This window comes from Homo sapiens, chromosome 3 (assembly GCF_000001405.40).
Source record: "Homo sapiens chromosome 3, GRCh38.p14 Primary Assembly".
Taxonomy (NCBI): domain Eukaryota; kingdom Metazoa; phylum Chordata; class Mammalia; order Primates; family Hominidae; genus Homo; species Homo sapiens.
Window position 1 is genome coordinate 128,324,693 of NC_000003.12, and position 13,959 is coordinate 128,338,651.

Sequence of the window (13,959 nt, forward strand, 5' to 3'; positions counted from 1 at the left end):
GTTGTAGGCCTAGGGCTTTGCATGGTCTGGCTGTACCAGGCCCTCAATTCTTTTTGGTGGAGTTAATTCCAGGTGATTTGTTTGAGTTTAAGATTGAGACACTGAATGTTTCCTTAAAGTTTTAAATATGCTAATACTAAAGGCTAAACTTGGAAAATGAAAAAGAAGAAATAGAAAAATAGAGAGGAGAAAAACATCCTTAGCACAGGGTAACCTTCCTGTTGCTGTTGCCAGACCTCAAACTCAAGGCTGCCTCTCCGTCCCAGACAGACTGTACCTTGACCTCTATTTCATGGTTAGAAAGAAGCTTCATAACAAAGAGAGATAACGGCCAGTCCGTGCACTTGTTCTTCACACAGGCAGGGCAGGCCCCCAACATCCCTCGCTGGCCTACTCTCTGCCTGAAGGTGGGATGCATCATCCCAGAGTGGACCTGGAGCCCAGAGCTGTCACTGCTCCCCGTGCCATACAGTCTGTGCAGACCCAGCCAGGCTTTTGTTCCTGGGGAAGGGGGAAGGGGGAAGTGATCTCCCTGTTGAGCCTTGCTGAGGACATCCAAGTTGTCTTTTGTGACAGCTTCCTCACTTTGCTCCAGATTTGGACCCAAGCCTCTGTGCCTCAGGCCCAGCCATTGCTGTGGCCAAATGAGCTCCCACTTCAGTCAGGCCTTGCTGGGCTTGGGTCTGAGTTTCACCATTTACCAGCTGAGGGGCCTTGGGCAGGCTACTGACTCTCAGTTTCCTCAGGTGTCAGGTGGTGGTGAGGTTGGAGAGAGTGGTCTCAGGTGCCCTGTAGAAGGCCTGTTCTGCAGCAGGCTCTCCGGGAAGATGTTTGCACGGGGAGGAATTCCTAAGAGTCTTTGCAGCCTCAGGAGCCAGGCACAACACCGAGCTACAACCTGGTGGGATGGTCTTTCTCTTTTAGTTTAGGTATTTCTTTTTGAACCTTTTCTTCATGTATGAAAGCAATGTGTGATTACTTTAGACATTTTTGTGGAGTATAAAGAAACTGGGAAAAAAAACCTCCCCCTTAACTATAGTTAAGACTGTATTTTAAATACATTTTTATACCTTGATTATTGGTTCAGTATTACAGAGAAAACATTTTCCATGCTGATAAAAGTGCTTCATATATTTTATTATGTAACACCTTGCCTGCTGTTTTATTTAGCCATTCCTCTATTGTTAGGCAGCTAGATTGTCTCCATCTTTTGCCTATCCTAAATAAGGTGAATATTTTATCATACTAAGGTGAATATTTCCAGTGATCCACCTTTGACTTTTGGAGAGTTTCCCTGAGGTGGAATTCTTGGACAAGAAATGTAGAAATGATGAGAGCATTCCAGAAAGGCTGGACCAGTGTGATCTTGTGTGGTGCTGGGGGAGCATCTGGAGGGGGTGTTGAGGGATAGAAGCATGAGGGGTTTGTCATTGTCTCCAGACAACTGCAGTGAGGAACAGATGCTTGCCCCCAGGCACCTCAGAGTTAGGGCTGGTGCGCTCAAGTTTAGTACAAAATATATTGGTGTCTTCAGAGTGCCTGGCTCCTGGGCCCAGCCTGTGGTGCCCTCCTGCTCTCTGGCTGCTGGGCCAGGCACTGCGTGAAGCTTGGATTGCACCTCACACTTTACTGCATTGCCCTTTTTATTTTGTGGAGAACTGAGAGACTCCCACCATCTCTTTTGCCCACCCCATCTTGGCAGGTGGTACAGCTGTTTCTGTAGATGGAGGGAAAAGATAGTCTCCCATCCTGGGCCAGTTACCTCAGCAAGGAGCACCTCGATTTTCTCATGTGGGTTGGGCATTCTGGCTTCTCATCTTATGGTGGTGGCTTCCAGGTGTTGCTGGGGAAGGCGAGACTCAAGCCAGCAGTGTGACAGACCCAGCCAGGAGGCTCAGAAGTGCTTCTCTTCCTCCCAGCACCTGACCCCTCCATTTCCTCCTCTCAGCCCAGGGCTGGCCTCCCCCAGAGTCTGCCTCAGAGTAGACTGTCAGTCTGTATTGAGTAAACTGATTGGAACTGGATTCTATTACATTTAATTGACTAGAAAATCTGTCTTTTTATTCTTAAATAGTTAAGTTTTAATCACACAATCAATTCATGAATTTCCTGTAGCAAAACTGAAACCTTTCAGTTAAGGGAAAAGGAGGCCTGTTGCATCACATCCCATCCTGGCCTCTCATCTAGAGGAGATCCTGTTAATTCTTTTGGGTTTAACCTTCCAAACCCTTGTTCTATGCGCTGTGCTCACAGAAATGCACAGCACTGTTGTGTAAATGTGTGAATGTGTGGCATCATATTCTGAGCAGTGTTTGCACTTTTCTGGCCATGCCCCACATGGATTCTCAGAGACCTTGCCTCATCACTACACACAGAGCTACCACACTGCCTGCCCCCACGTGTGCTCATCAGTGTGGACACCTCATGTCACACATCGCCATGTCCCCACTGATGGACTTTCAGACTGCTGCCCTGTCTTTGTGATTATTCCCTGTGCTGCACTGACCATCTTCTTGTGTACACCTGCACAGCGCTCTCCTGGGAGGTATCAAGAACTCTGCCTCAGACCTGCCCTGGCACCTCCCTGCACTTTTCCCATCCCCCCCCCCCCAAGGTTGTCCCCCTCTCTCCCGATCTCATTTGTATGTCATTGTCATTCCAGACCCAATTCAGATGTCCTCCTCTCTGCTGCCTCCCTCATAATACTTTCATATTCTAATGAAATATGAATACACATCATATTCTAAATATACTTTATACATCTGTCTCCCCAGTGAGTCTGGAGTTCGGAGGACAAGGGCCATGGCTTCCCCCACATCCCAAGGCCAGCACATGGCCTGCCATGGAGTAGGTGCTACATGAGCGTGTTGAATTAAAGCCAGTGGAAGGAATAAGGGAGATGGGCCATGAAGAATGAGTGCTGGGAAAGATGTGCAGGAAGGCATTCCACATGGATAAACAGTAGGGCAGAGGCAGGGAGTGTGCTGGGAGACCAGCCCAGAGCTCTGGAGAGCACTGCACAGATGCAGGAGGAAGGCCAGGGGTGAGCACCAGGGCACCCGGAGCCCTGGCAGGTTTCATTGAGGACCTAGCCTGACCCAGGCTCTGTACTAGGGAAGTGGCCTGGCAGTACATGGAGGAGGGGGCGGCTGCTATGGGTGTCTGAGCAAGAAGTGAGGCCCAGTGACCAGAAAGAGACTGTGGGTGTGAGGCAGGCGAACTCTGGGATTTGTTGGCTCGTGGGCTATGGGAAGGGCGCCCATGAGGAAGGAGCCAAAGGCTGAGGCTTGAACCGTGAACAAGGGCTGGGGGCCACCACAGTTCACTGAGGACTTGGTACTTACAAGGGCTCAGGGAGACCCTAGGCACATGCTGCCTCCTTCAATTTTCACAGAATCCCTGTGGCTAGGACCTGGTACCCTTAGTCTATTGGTGAGGACACTGAAGTCTAGAAGTTACAGAACTTGCCCACAGCTCAGAGCTGGAGCCACAGCTCCAACCTCAGTGAATCTGGCCCCAAGTCCAGCATGCTCACTGCTGACAGTGGGCACCCACAGAAGTGGGCCAGGCCTAAGTGGGGTGGGAGGTGAGTGCAGGGGTGATTCTGGCTCTAAACAGAATCACAGTCTAACAGCCATCTTGTGGAGTAAAAGGAGCCCATGCCTCAAGCCACATGCGCCGTCCAGATGTCAGAATGCAGGTAGGCAAGGTCCAGGCCATGGGATGAGGTGTGGGGTGCAAATTAGATGCCCTGGTGCACCCCAGGACCAAGGAGTGGGCCGTAAGCCCATTGCATGCCTGCCCTTCCAGCAAGTTGTAAGGATAACAATGGAATGTCATAAAGCTCTTGTAGTTTCTTGTCTGTAAGGCTAAAGTTGTAATAAACAGAAATTATGAGCAAAAGAATAAACCTAGAGAGAAAGTCAGTTCTTAGGGTCACCACTGCTTTACATCCCTTGGATTACAAGGGCTTTTATGCCATATTGGTGGCACATAGGGAACTGCCCCTCAGGGGGTGGGGCTGGCCTCCTGGGGCTCCGAGCCTTGTATCCAGTGTCCACTGAGGCCCCACAGCACCGTGCCAGGTGAGAGTGCCTCGCCGTTTTACAGGGATTAACAATGTAGGTGGCATTCCTTTTTCTTTGATCCACCTCAAGAAATAGTGGCAGGTTGAATTTTGAATTTGAAAATACATCCCAGACCTAGCAGCCCCCTTTTGCAGCCACCTCAGTCCCTGGGATTTGGGTTTGGAATAGGATACCCTGTGTCTCAGGAGGCTCGCAGTGGCAGCTCAATTGGATGACTGAGTCCCAGTGTGATCCTTGGCACCCCGCCTCTCACCCTCCTTGCTCACTGTCACAGTGATGATTCTCTTTTCTTCTTCCCTATTTCTTCTTATCATTACTGTCATGGACCCAAATGCCTTCAACCACTCCCCCTCCAGCACCCACGGAGGGAGAGCGAGGCCCAGGCTCAGCTGCTGGGCAGCTTCCCTGGGGCCCCTGTCTCTGCCCTTGGCTTGCTGGTCATACCCTTGTCTAGCCTTGCTGATGCTCTGGTGCCAGCAGCCACAGGCCAGTGCTCCTGCAGGATGTGAGTCCAAGTGATGTTGCCCCTGCACAGCTGCACTGGGGTGCAGGGGATCATCAGTTGAGTGTGACGGACGTTCCTGAGCATGCTCCTCTGTGCCAGGGACGGAGATTAGTGCCACCCAGCCCCACCCCCCCCCACCCCCGCTGATGCTCTCAGTCTGGACAGGAGGCAGGAGCTAAAGGCATGGCTACATAGCAAGTATCGGAGATAAAGTGGGGGTCAAGTGGCGGGGGCTGTGGGGGCCAAGGTGGGCAGGCAGCATGACCTGCTCTAGCTGGAGTAAGGCTGGAAGGACGAGGAGGGGCCTGGCAGTCAGGAAGCCAGCTCTGCCCAGGCACAGGGCTGGGAGGCACCATCGGGCCTCTAGGCCATGAGTTGGACTTGGCCCAAGCTTAGGGTGCTGAGGGCAGTGCTGAGGAGTGCTCAGGAGCCAGCCAGATGGCCACAGGCCTGTGTGCCCATCCAGCAGCCTGCCCTGAGGGGCGGGAGCTGTGGGAGCCACACATAGGAGGGACATGGCCAGTGCTGGGCTTTCATAAACCTGGCTGAAGGACAGGGTAGCCTTGGAACTGTGGGGATCTTTCTGTCCACCTTGGATCCATTCCTTTAAGACCCAGACCCACCTGGGCTCTTTGCTCAGGCCCAGGGCCCACAGGTGAGGTACTGTTCACTGCTCCATGGCGGTGATGGCTTTTCTGGCTCAGCCCTGAAAACAGAGCTGGATCCCTTGGCTTACCTCCCAAGGATTCCTTACCCCCTAAAAAGCCCAGGGATGTCATTAAAAACAAAGTCCCAGTTGTATAGAAAACAGAAGAATCCAGCATTGCTGTAATTCATTTAAAGTTTTATGGGATGGCAAATACTTGGGGTGGCTGGGAGGAGGAGCGTAAAGCTCCCTGGTGAAGCTCCCTGGTAGGCCCCTTGTCACTTTTATGGTTTTCCATTGTTGCAGTGACTGGGAGGTTAATCACGAGGGTTTGTTTGTAAGGTCGCCACAGATGGTCAGGGGCCTTTGCTGGGCCACATGGTAGAAAGCCAGATCATTCCCTTCCTCTCAGAGTGTGCCCCATGTGGCAGGCACTGTGCTGAGGATCGGTGGTGAGCAAAATAAACCCAGCCTGTCTACCTGGGGCTGTCTGCCCGATCCAGGAAACAACAGAGCGCACAGGCACACACTGGACAGATGCTAACAGGTTACGGGGCTTAAGGAGCGTCCTGGTCTGCCTGGAGACTCAGAACAGGTTTTGTGAGCTGGTCGGGGGACCCCTGAGGTCTCAGTGAGTGGGATTCAGCTGGGTACAGGGCGCCACAGGGGTGAGGAGAGCTGGGCAGGGCAGCAGTGTTCCTGTGGGGCTCCAGGTAACACTAGCCACGCTGTGTGCAAGGGCCTTACTGACGCTTGGGAATCCGAGCCCAGCCTGGGCACAAGGGGGCAGGGGGCATCAGTGCATCTCCCCTCTTCCCCGCTTCCTCAGTGCATCTCCCCTCTTCCCCCTTCCTCAGTGCATCTCCCCTCTTCCCCATTCCTCAGTGCATCTCCCCTCTTCCCCCCTTCCTCAGTGCATCTCCCCTCTTCCCCATTCCTCAGTGCATCTCCCCTCTTCCCCCTTCCTCAGTGCATCTCCCCTCTTCCCCCCTTCCTCAGTGCATCTCCCCTCTTCCCCCTTCCTCAGTGCATCTCCCCTCTTCCCCCCTTCCTCAGTGCATCTCCCCTCTTCCCCATTCCTCAGTGCATCTCCCCTCTTCCCCCCTTCCTCAGTGCATCTCCCCTCTTCCCCCTTCCTCAATGCATCTCCCCTCTTCCCCCTTCCTCAATGCATCTCCCCTCTTCCCCCCTTCTCAGTGCATCTCCCCTCTTCCCCCCTTCCTCAGTGCATCTCCCCTCTTCCTCAGTGCATCTCCCCTCTTCCCCCTTCCTCAGTACATCTCCCCTCTTCTCCCCTTCCTCAGTGCATCTCCCCTCTTCCCCCCTTCCTCAGTACATCTCCCCTCTTCCCCCTTCCTCAATGCATCTCCCTTCTTCCCCCCTTCCTCAATGCATCTCCCCTCTTCCCCCCTTCCTCAGTGCATCTCCCCTCTTCCACCCCTTCCCCAATGCATCTCTCATCTTCCCCCCTTCCTAAATGCATCTCCCCTCTTCCTCCCTTCCTAAAGGCATCTCCCCTCTTCCCTCCCCTTCCTCAGTGCATCTCCCCTCTTCCCCACTTCCTCAATGCATCTCCCCTCTTCCCTCTCCTTCCTCAATGCATCCCCCTTCCTTTCTCCCCTTCTCCTCCATGCATCTCCCCTTCCTAAAGAGTTGTGTGTGTCACTGAGCACCTGGCTCACATAGTGGCTGAGGTACATGCACTTTGCCACCCCTAGGAGTTGTGGGTGGGACAGTAGATGTTGGGGAGACTCCAGAGACCCCTTCTAGGAGAGACTTTTTCCTGGTAATTGGAAACTGCACACTAAGATAGCAATGGGTCAGCACACCTTATCTATTAGACTGCAAAAATTTAAAGGCCTGCAGCCTCAGGTGCTGGGGAGGGTGTGGGGAAGAGGTTATTTCTTGTACTGCTGGTGGAAGCGTAACCACCCACTTTAGAGAAAAATCTACAAGATCTAGTAAAACTGAAACTGTGTCCCACAACACCACAGTTTCTCATCCAGATATCTATGCTAGAAAAACCCTATGTATATATACAATTTGATGTATAAAGAAATGGCCACCGTGAAATCATTCTAGTAGTATAAATAGCAACTCACATGTCCATTAAGGGTATGGATAAATGACATATAAAGAAATACTATACAGCTGTCAAAAAAGAATACCATATATATGTTATTGTATGTTTTTTGACAGCTGCATATATGTGTGTATATATACACATGTTATATACACACACATGTGTATGGTAGTATATATATGTATATACACACACACAAATATGAATAGATGTCACCAATATATTGCTGCAGGAGGGAGGCAAGTAGTAAATTAACTACAAACATGGTGCCACTGTTTACACTAATAAGTCTATACAAGTTGAATGTCCCTTATCCGAAATGCTTGGGACCAGAAGTGTTTCGATTTCAGATTGTTTTGGATTTTGGAATATTAGCATGATATACTTAACAGGTTAAGCATCTGAAATCCAGAAATCCAAAATCCAAAGTGCTCCATTGAGTATTTTTTATTTTTGAGACGGAGTCTCGCTCTGTCACCCAGGCGGGAGTGCAATGGCGCAATATCGGGTCACTGCAACCTCCACCTCCTGGGTTCAAGTGATTCTCCCACCCCAGCATCCCAAGTAGCTGGGATTACAGGCACCCGCCATAATGCCCGGCTAATTTTTATACTTTTGTAGAGTTGGGGTTTCACCATGTTGGCCAGGCTGGTCTTGAACAGGTGACCTGAGGTTCCCTCTCGCAGCCCCAGAGGTGGTGCTGGGGAGCTGGGATCTCAACCTGCAGGGGCAGCGCTGGCAGTCTCCAGGGCCCATACTGCTCTGTCCTCATGCACAGCCCTAGGTTTGACTTGTTGTGTGTGAGATGTGATTAAATGCATTAGGCGGGGGAAAATGTCTTATCTGTACCCAGCCTAGGTCGAAGAAGAGGGAGAAATAAGAGCAGCCAAATTGAACCTTATTAAACAAAATTGGTTAGGTCTGATGGAGCCAAACCTAGACTGATCTTTAAAAGCTTATTTCATTTTTCCCCTCCAGCCTGAACCTCTTTGAATTGAAGTAACTGATCCTGCTGTAAGCTTATTAGTGTCAAACCTTGTGTGTTTCTTTTCCTCTCCGATTTACATTTTATTAAGTAATGATGAAGTTGCAAGGTCCCAACCCTAGCCCTTGGCACAACCAGGAGCTTCCAGGCTCATTAGTGGAACAAAATGGATAATAGAGGTCCAATCTTATTATAGCTGGTACATTATTACAAAATCTCTGCACATTAGAAAGGCTGCTAAGCACAAGTCTGTTACCTGCTTCACTCAAGCATCTGTTGATTCTGTAAAATGCTGGAGGGACCCCCCAACACTGCTGTTCCTTTAAAGTTTGTTGTGATGGTGTGGGCTGTCCATTTCTTACCTGACAGAAGGAGTGCCCATGTTAGTGATATCGCTGTGCTGAATTGTGTTTCATCTTGGACTTCTGTGGTGGAGTGTGTTTTTCTGGTGTGATGTAGTAAGAGAATATGTGCTTTAATGACAGGCAGATTGCATGCTTTGAATAAATGTCTTAACCTCTGGGGGCTTCAATTTCCTTGTCTGTAAAGTGAGATCATCATTAGCCACTATCATTAGAAGTGAATGGAATCAGGTGTGTAAAGATTTTCCCCATCATAGGTATCCAACTCTTTCTCCATCTTCCATATCGGCCCTGTGGTAACATAATGCAGCTCGTGTGCACTTCAGTTGAGTGCCTACTATTTCATGCAAGATGCTGTGGAGAACAGAGATGAGCACAGGATGACTCCACCTCAAACTGTTCCTGCTGGATGTTTTCAGTAGCCTCAGAAAGTGCATGGTAAAGGGAAACCAGATCATGCTGGGCACACTACCATGCAGAATCCTCAAAACACCAGAAAGCTAAGTTGAAAGACAGTCGAAAAGCCAGAAGGAGTATCGAGCTCATCGGGCCTGGGAGCAGTCAGAAGGGGGTGTTCATTTGTTCTCTCATCCACTTGATCAGCAAACTGGGCATATTGTGCTACTCAAAAACAGGAAACATGGGAGGTTGGGAGGGAGGGATGCAGCTGAGAGTTAGCTCTGAAAACTCCATGGGCAAGTCCAGCAGGGAGAGGGCTGCTGCTGACCTTCCCCAGGGTAGCTGCTGGCATGAGCTTCCAGGTGAGACAGCCTAGACTGAACCTGCCTCTGCCACATCTGAGTCTCGAGGCAGGCCTGACTGTCCTGGGCTTTGCTTTCTCACCCGAGAAAGGGGGCTCATCTTACTTGCCCATTGGCATTGATGTGAGAGTCACACTGGTGGCGAGGAGTCCCCTGTCTTGAGTCTTCCCTCTCTGCTTCTGCCCCAGGAGCCATCTTTTTGGGCTCAGGCTGTGTGGGCTCTACATGTTCAATCACTCAGGAGCCACAGCTGCCTGCTGCCTGCTGCCAGCACCCTGACTGGCTGAGCCCCGAGTCTGGCAGGGCAGGGTGTGGTTCTGCTCGACTGTCAGAGCTGAGGCCGTGGAACATCAGGCCTGCCTTGCAGTCCCAGCGTTTATCGTCCCAAGTCTCAGCCTATTTGTTTTGTGACCTTGGAGACATCAAAAACCTCTGTTTCTTCATCCATAAAATTGAATGTCAAAATATTGACCTGCCTGTGGGGTTTTTTATGAAGAATAACTGACCCAGAGGATGGCAAAGCTTCTTTGTTAATCAGAAAGGACCAAACTGCTTAGCAAGCACGAACTTGAGTTTTAAAAAGTGTTTGCTTGTTTGATGTGTTCCTCCCTCCCTCCTTCCCCAGAAGTGCTTGGTGCTGGAGGGATGGGAAGGATGTGAGGGAGAGCCTCTGCAATCACCCATGCCCTCTGGGGAGCTAGGCTCAGGGGACGGACCTCCCAGAGGCCACCATGGTGGTATAGGGCAGCAGCACCTCTCCCCATTCCACCTCCCAGCCTTCTCTGCTGCCCTTCTCACTGCGTACCCCGCCTGGGACACTGGGGGCCCCTGGGCAGCAGGCCCCAGCCCTATCCTCCCATTTGGTAGACTCTTTACCCTTGGGGTTTTGTGGATCCTCTGAGGGCCTGGCCAGCCCCAGGACCACCCTGTTCCTGCAGCTGTGAATGTGGAGCTTGGGCCCAGGAGGAGCTCCCCAAAAGAGGGCCCATGTGGCTTGGCTCCTTTCAGTTACTCTTCCCACTTGCATTGAGGCCTCCCACATTCCAGGCATGGCGCTGGGCACTGCAGATAGAAATGGAAAAAAACAAAGCAAAGCCTGGTCCTCATGGAGGTTCCATTCCAGTGCGGGAGTGACAGCCAGTGAACAAAGGGATGCCAAGCGTTGGGAAGCTCTATGATGAAAAACCAAGTGGGCAAGGTGCTAGAGAGTGACAGGGATAGGCCAATGCCTGTCTCTTGCTGGGTGGGGTGACTGAGGAGGGGCTCTGATACAGTGGCATCCAAGCAGGTATGGGAAGGAAGTGAGGAAGAGAGGAACTGCAGGTGCAGAGGCCATGAGGTGGGAGCATGCCTGGCACATTCAGGGAATGGGAAGCAAGGCCCACATGACTGAAGGGATGTGAACAGTGGGTCGGGGTCACAGCAAATAAAGTCAGAGACATCACGGGGGCTGTGTGGCATTGTGAGTCCTGGAAAGGACTTCAGCTTTTACAGAGTGAGATGGGAGGCCAGTGGAGAGCCTGGAGGCAAACCCCAGGGTCACATCATCTGTGTTTTCCCAAGAACAGGAAGAACAGGCTGTGGGGAAGAACAGGCTCTTGGAAGAACAGGCTGCGGGGGAGGGGGCAACAATCCAAGCCAGGTGAGGCTGGGACCAGGGCAGGCAGTGCAGGGACAGGAAGGGGTCAGGCACTGGACCTACTTGGAAGGTAGAGCCGACCCTGTCTCCTGATGGCTGGTTACAGCTACAAGAGGACAAGGAGAGTCCAGGTGGGTGGAAGCCCCAGCTTTTCCCCTGACATCAGAGCGTTGCCCTGGAGAAGCAGAAGGCTGAAGGAGACTTTAGGTTCTGGGCGTAGTAAGCTGGGATGCCTGTCAGCCATTCAAAGAGGCAGTTGGGTGTAAGTCTGTATGCTCCCAGCTCCAGTCTCCACCTCCCCTGGAACTCAGACGTCTGTGTCTCTCTGGCAGCCTCAGAGACAGCTCCTACTTGCAGAACTCCCAGCTCCCCTCCCCTGAAGCTGGCTCCTCCCTGCTCCCACCTAGCATGAGGCAGATCCTCAAACTAGAAACCTGGGAGCTGTTCTTTACACATCAGCTGTTCTTTACACACCAGCTGTTCTTTACACACCAGTCTCTCCTTGTCCCCACATCTAGTCTGTCACCACCAAAATATGTCTTGAACTCTGAGTATCTTCCTTGCTAATTTCCATGTTTCCTTTCTTACTTCTCTACCTCCCCTGAATCTATTCCCCAAACTGTATAGCCAGTTTGCATCTTTTAAAACCGCAAACTGGCAGTGTCATTCCTCTGCCATCCCCTGTGCCCCATCACTGGTGGCTTCCTGGTGCTTTGTCCCATGGCAATGGTGGCTGGCCCATGTCTCCAACCTGCTGCCTCCCTGGACCACCGCACCTCAGCCAGCCCTGCCACCCGCAGTTCCACTGGGGGCCTGGTTCTTCCCCTGCCCAGGGCCTTAGGCCTGCTCTGCTCTTCCCTCTGCCTGGAATCCCTGTGGGTGGTTTGTTACCGATCTGGTCTTGGCTCCAATGCCACCTCCTCAGGGAAGTCCTCCCTGACTACCCACAATGAATTAGGTCTCCCAGTTGTTCGCTCTCATACAGCCTCATCCTTTTTTCTCACAGTACCTCCCACAGTTTCATAATTCCTCATGTATTCAGTGGTGATCTAATTAACATCTTTCTTCTCTAGAAGACAGCAGACTTTATAGAACCCAACTGTCTAAAACTATCTGTTTTGCTCGTCCTGCTGGCATTCCAGAGCCTGGGCCTGGTCCTGAGAGAAGGTTGCTACCCACGTGTTGAGAGAATGTGCGTGCGCCACCTCAGCTGCGCCCCGTGGACATTAGCGAATGTTTGAGGAGTGAGTTATTCAGTAGATGGAGAGAGGCCCTCAAAGTTGGCTAGAAGATAAATGACTAAAAGGAAAGCCTGTTTTTCTCATTCTTAGGTTGGTAAAATTATCTACTTTTCTTTATCTCTGGTGTTCTAAATGGGTCTTCTGTTCCGAAGCGTCCCTCAGTGAGCGTGGGCTCACTGACCACCCCGTGTGGCAATGCTGTCTGCATGCGCCTGTGAGAACCCATGGGAGTGCCATGCTGCCCTGTCCCCATCTTTATCTGCTGCACAATTTCCTGTCTAGGCCCTTAAAATCTTGATTTGCACAGTTATTTATCTTTGTGCTCTTCATGGTGCCCTGGTAAGGCATTCTTTATGATTTCAGTCCTGAGAACACAAGCCCTGTTGAAAAGAGAACATGCTTTGAATAAAGCCTGCTTGACGTTCGGCTTGATGGGGAGGAGGAGGGGGAAGGGGCATCAGGGCAGCATGAGGCCCCTGGCCGCCCTCTCTCACAGGAAGGCTCATAAACACAAGGATCTCGCTCAAGCCCCGGCACGTCTGGAATCTCAGCTCGGTGCTTTGCCAGGTATGATTTTGCCACAAGGGGCATTTCTTTTCCAGAATCTGATGCAGTCACTCTCTTCAGAGCGGCTGGGCGTTTATCTGGACCTGTCACAACCAGGTTTCTCAGCAGCTCCTGTGCTGGGCACTGAGGACGCAGCATAGGGAGAGCACAGTCCTTGTCTCGGGATTTAGAAGGGAAGAGATGCACATTTGATAGGCCAAAATTAAGAAATCTAGCAGTGCCAAATGTTGGAGCAGACGTGTATCAATGGGGTGTCTTGGGCCTTATTGATAGAAGTTGATTTATCTACCTAGCAAAGTTGAACAGCCATTCACCCTGCAATCCAGCAGTTCAACTCCAGGAACTGTGTCCTTGAGAAGCCCTTGCACATGTGCCCATGCAGGATCCTTGTGACAGAAGAAATTCATTGCAGCATTTTCCAGCAAAGAACTGGAAACACCCCCAGTGCACATCGATAGGAGTCCAGGTTGTGCTAAATACACAAGGTGCAGCAGATGGCATCGGCAGCAAATGAGCTGCAGGTGCATGCACTATGTGCACAGGTTTTTAGTATCATAACTGGCACAATGCCTTATTCATACAGTTCAGAAACTTATACAACAAAGCAAATTACTGATTAGGAATGTGTACTACATATGTAGTGAGCCTTTACACAATCATACACACGTGTGTATAAAAAGAAAGGGAATGCTGTGCGCCAAATTCAAGGCAGCGGCACCCTCCCGCTGGGGCAGGTGGGAATGCTGAGTGGGGAGGACCACACAGGTAGGTATGAGTTATCGATAATGTAGTTCAGGGGCGGAAAGGGCAATGAACTCATGGGTGTTTCGTATATAATTTAAATCTGTCGGCACACAGAGGCTGGGGCTGACCTGTAAAGTAGTGGTAACCAAACAGTGAGTCAGGTTCCGATGGTCAGCTGTGTCTGGAGTTATCAGAGAAGCCCTTCTAGGAGGTCCATGGGAGCAGGGGTTAGGGACGAATGGGAATTTGCCAGTGGAAGAAATCCCAGGGAGCAGCCTCAGGGGCAAAGCACAGAGACATTCAGAAGCACAGCATTTACAAGGATTCATTCAAGAGTC

At 51.1% G+C, this 13,959-nt stretch overlaps 1 protein-coding gene across 11 annotated transcripts in view, besides 3 other annotated features; it reads left to right on the forward strand.

Annotated features, from left to right (window-relative positions):
- EEFSEC (eukaryotic elongation factor, selenocysteine-tRNA specific) overlaps positions 1-13,959 on the forward strand; it is a 272,743-nt gene that overhangs the window by 171,212 nt on the left and 87,572 nt on the right. The window contains exon 1 of one of the 11 annotated variants that reach the window (XM_024453696.2): positions 11,072-11,200. The exons of the other annotated variants lie outside the window; for them this stretch is intronic. Coding sequence (XP_024309464.1) covers positions 11,162-11,200 — 39 coding nt within the window. The 5' untranslated portion in view covers positions 11,072-11,161. Of the gene's footprint in view, positions 1-11,071; positions 11,201-13,959 lie in introns of those variants that run through there. 11 annotated transcript variants of the gene reach the window in all.
- Positions 174-468: a silencer, noted in NCBI's record as "tiled region #3031; K562 Repressive non-DNase unmatched - State 23:Low". NCBI's record gives its function as "represses a minimal TATA promoter and a strong SV40 promoter by Sharpr-MPRA in K562 cells {active_cell/tissue: K562}" and the evidence as "EXISTENCE:reporter gene assay evidence [ECO:0000049][PMID:27701403]".
- Positions 9,910-10,531: an enhancer, noted in NCBI's record as "H3K4me1 hESC enhancer chr3:128053445-128054066 (GRCh37/hg19 assembly coordinates)". NCBI's record gives its function as "activates a minimal SCP1, AML or CMV promoter by ChIP-STARR-seq in naive H9 embryonic stem cells {active_cell/tissue: H9 hESC(naive)}" and the evidence as "EXISTENCE:reporter gene assay evidence [ECO:0000049][PMID:30033119]".
- Positions 10,532-11,151: an enhancer, noted in NCBI's record as "H3K4me1 hESC enhancer chr3:128054067-128054686 (GRCh37/hg19 assembly coordinates)". NCBI's record gives its function as "activates a minimal SCP1, AML or CMV promoter by ChIP-STARR-seq in naive H9 embryonic stem cells {active_cell/tissue: H9 hESC(naive)}" and the evidence as "EXISTENCE:reporter gene assay evidence [ECO:0000049][PMID:30033119]".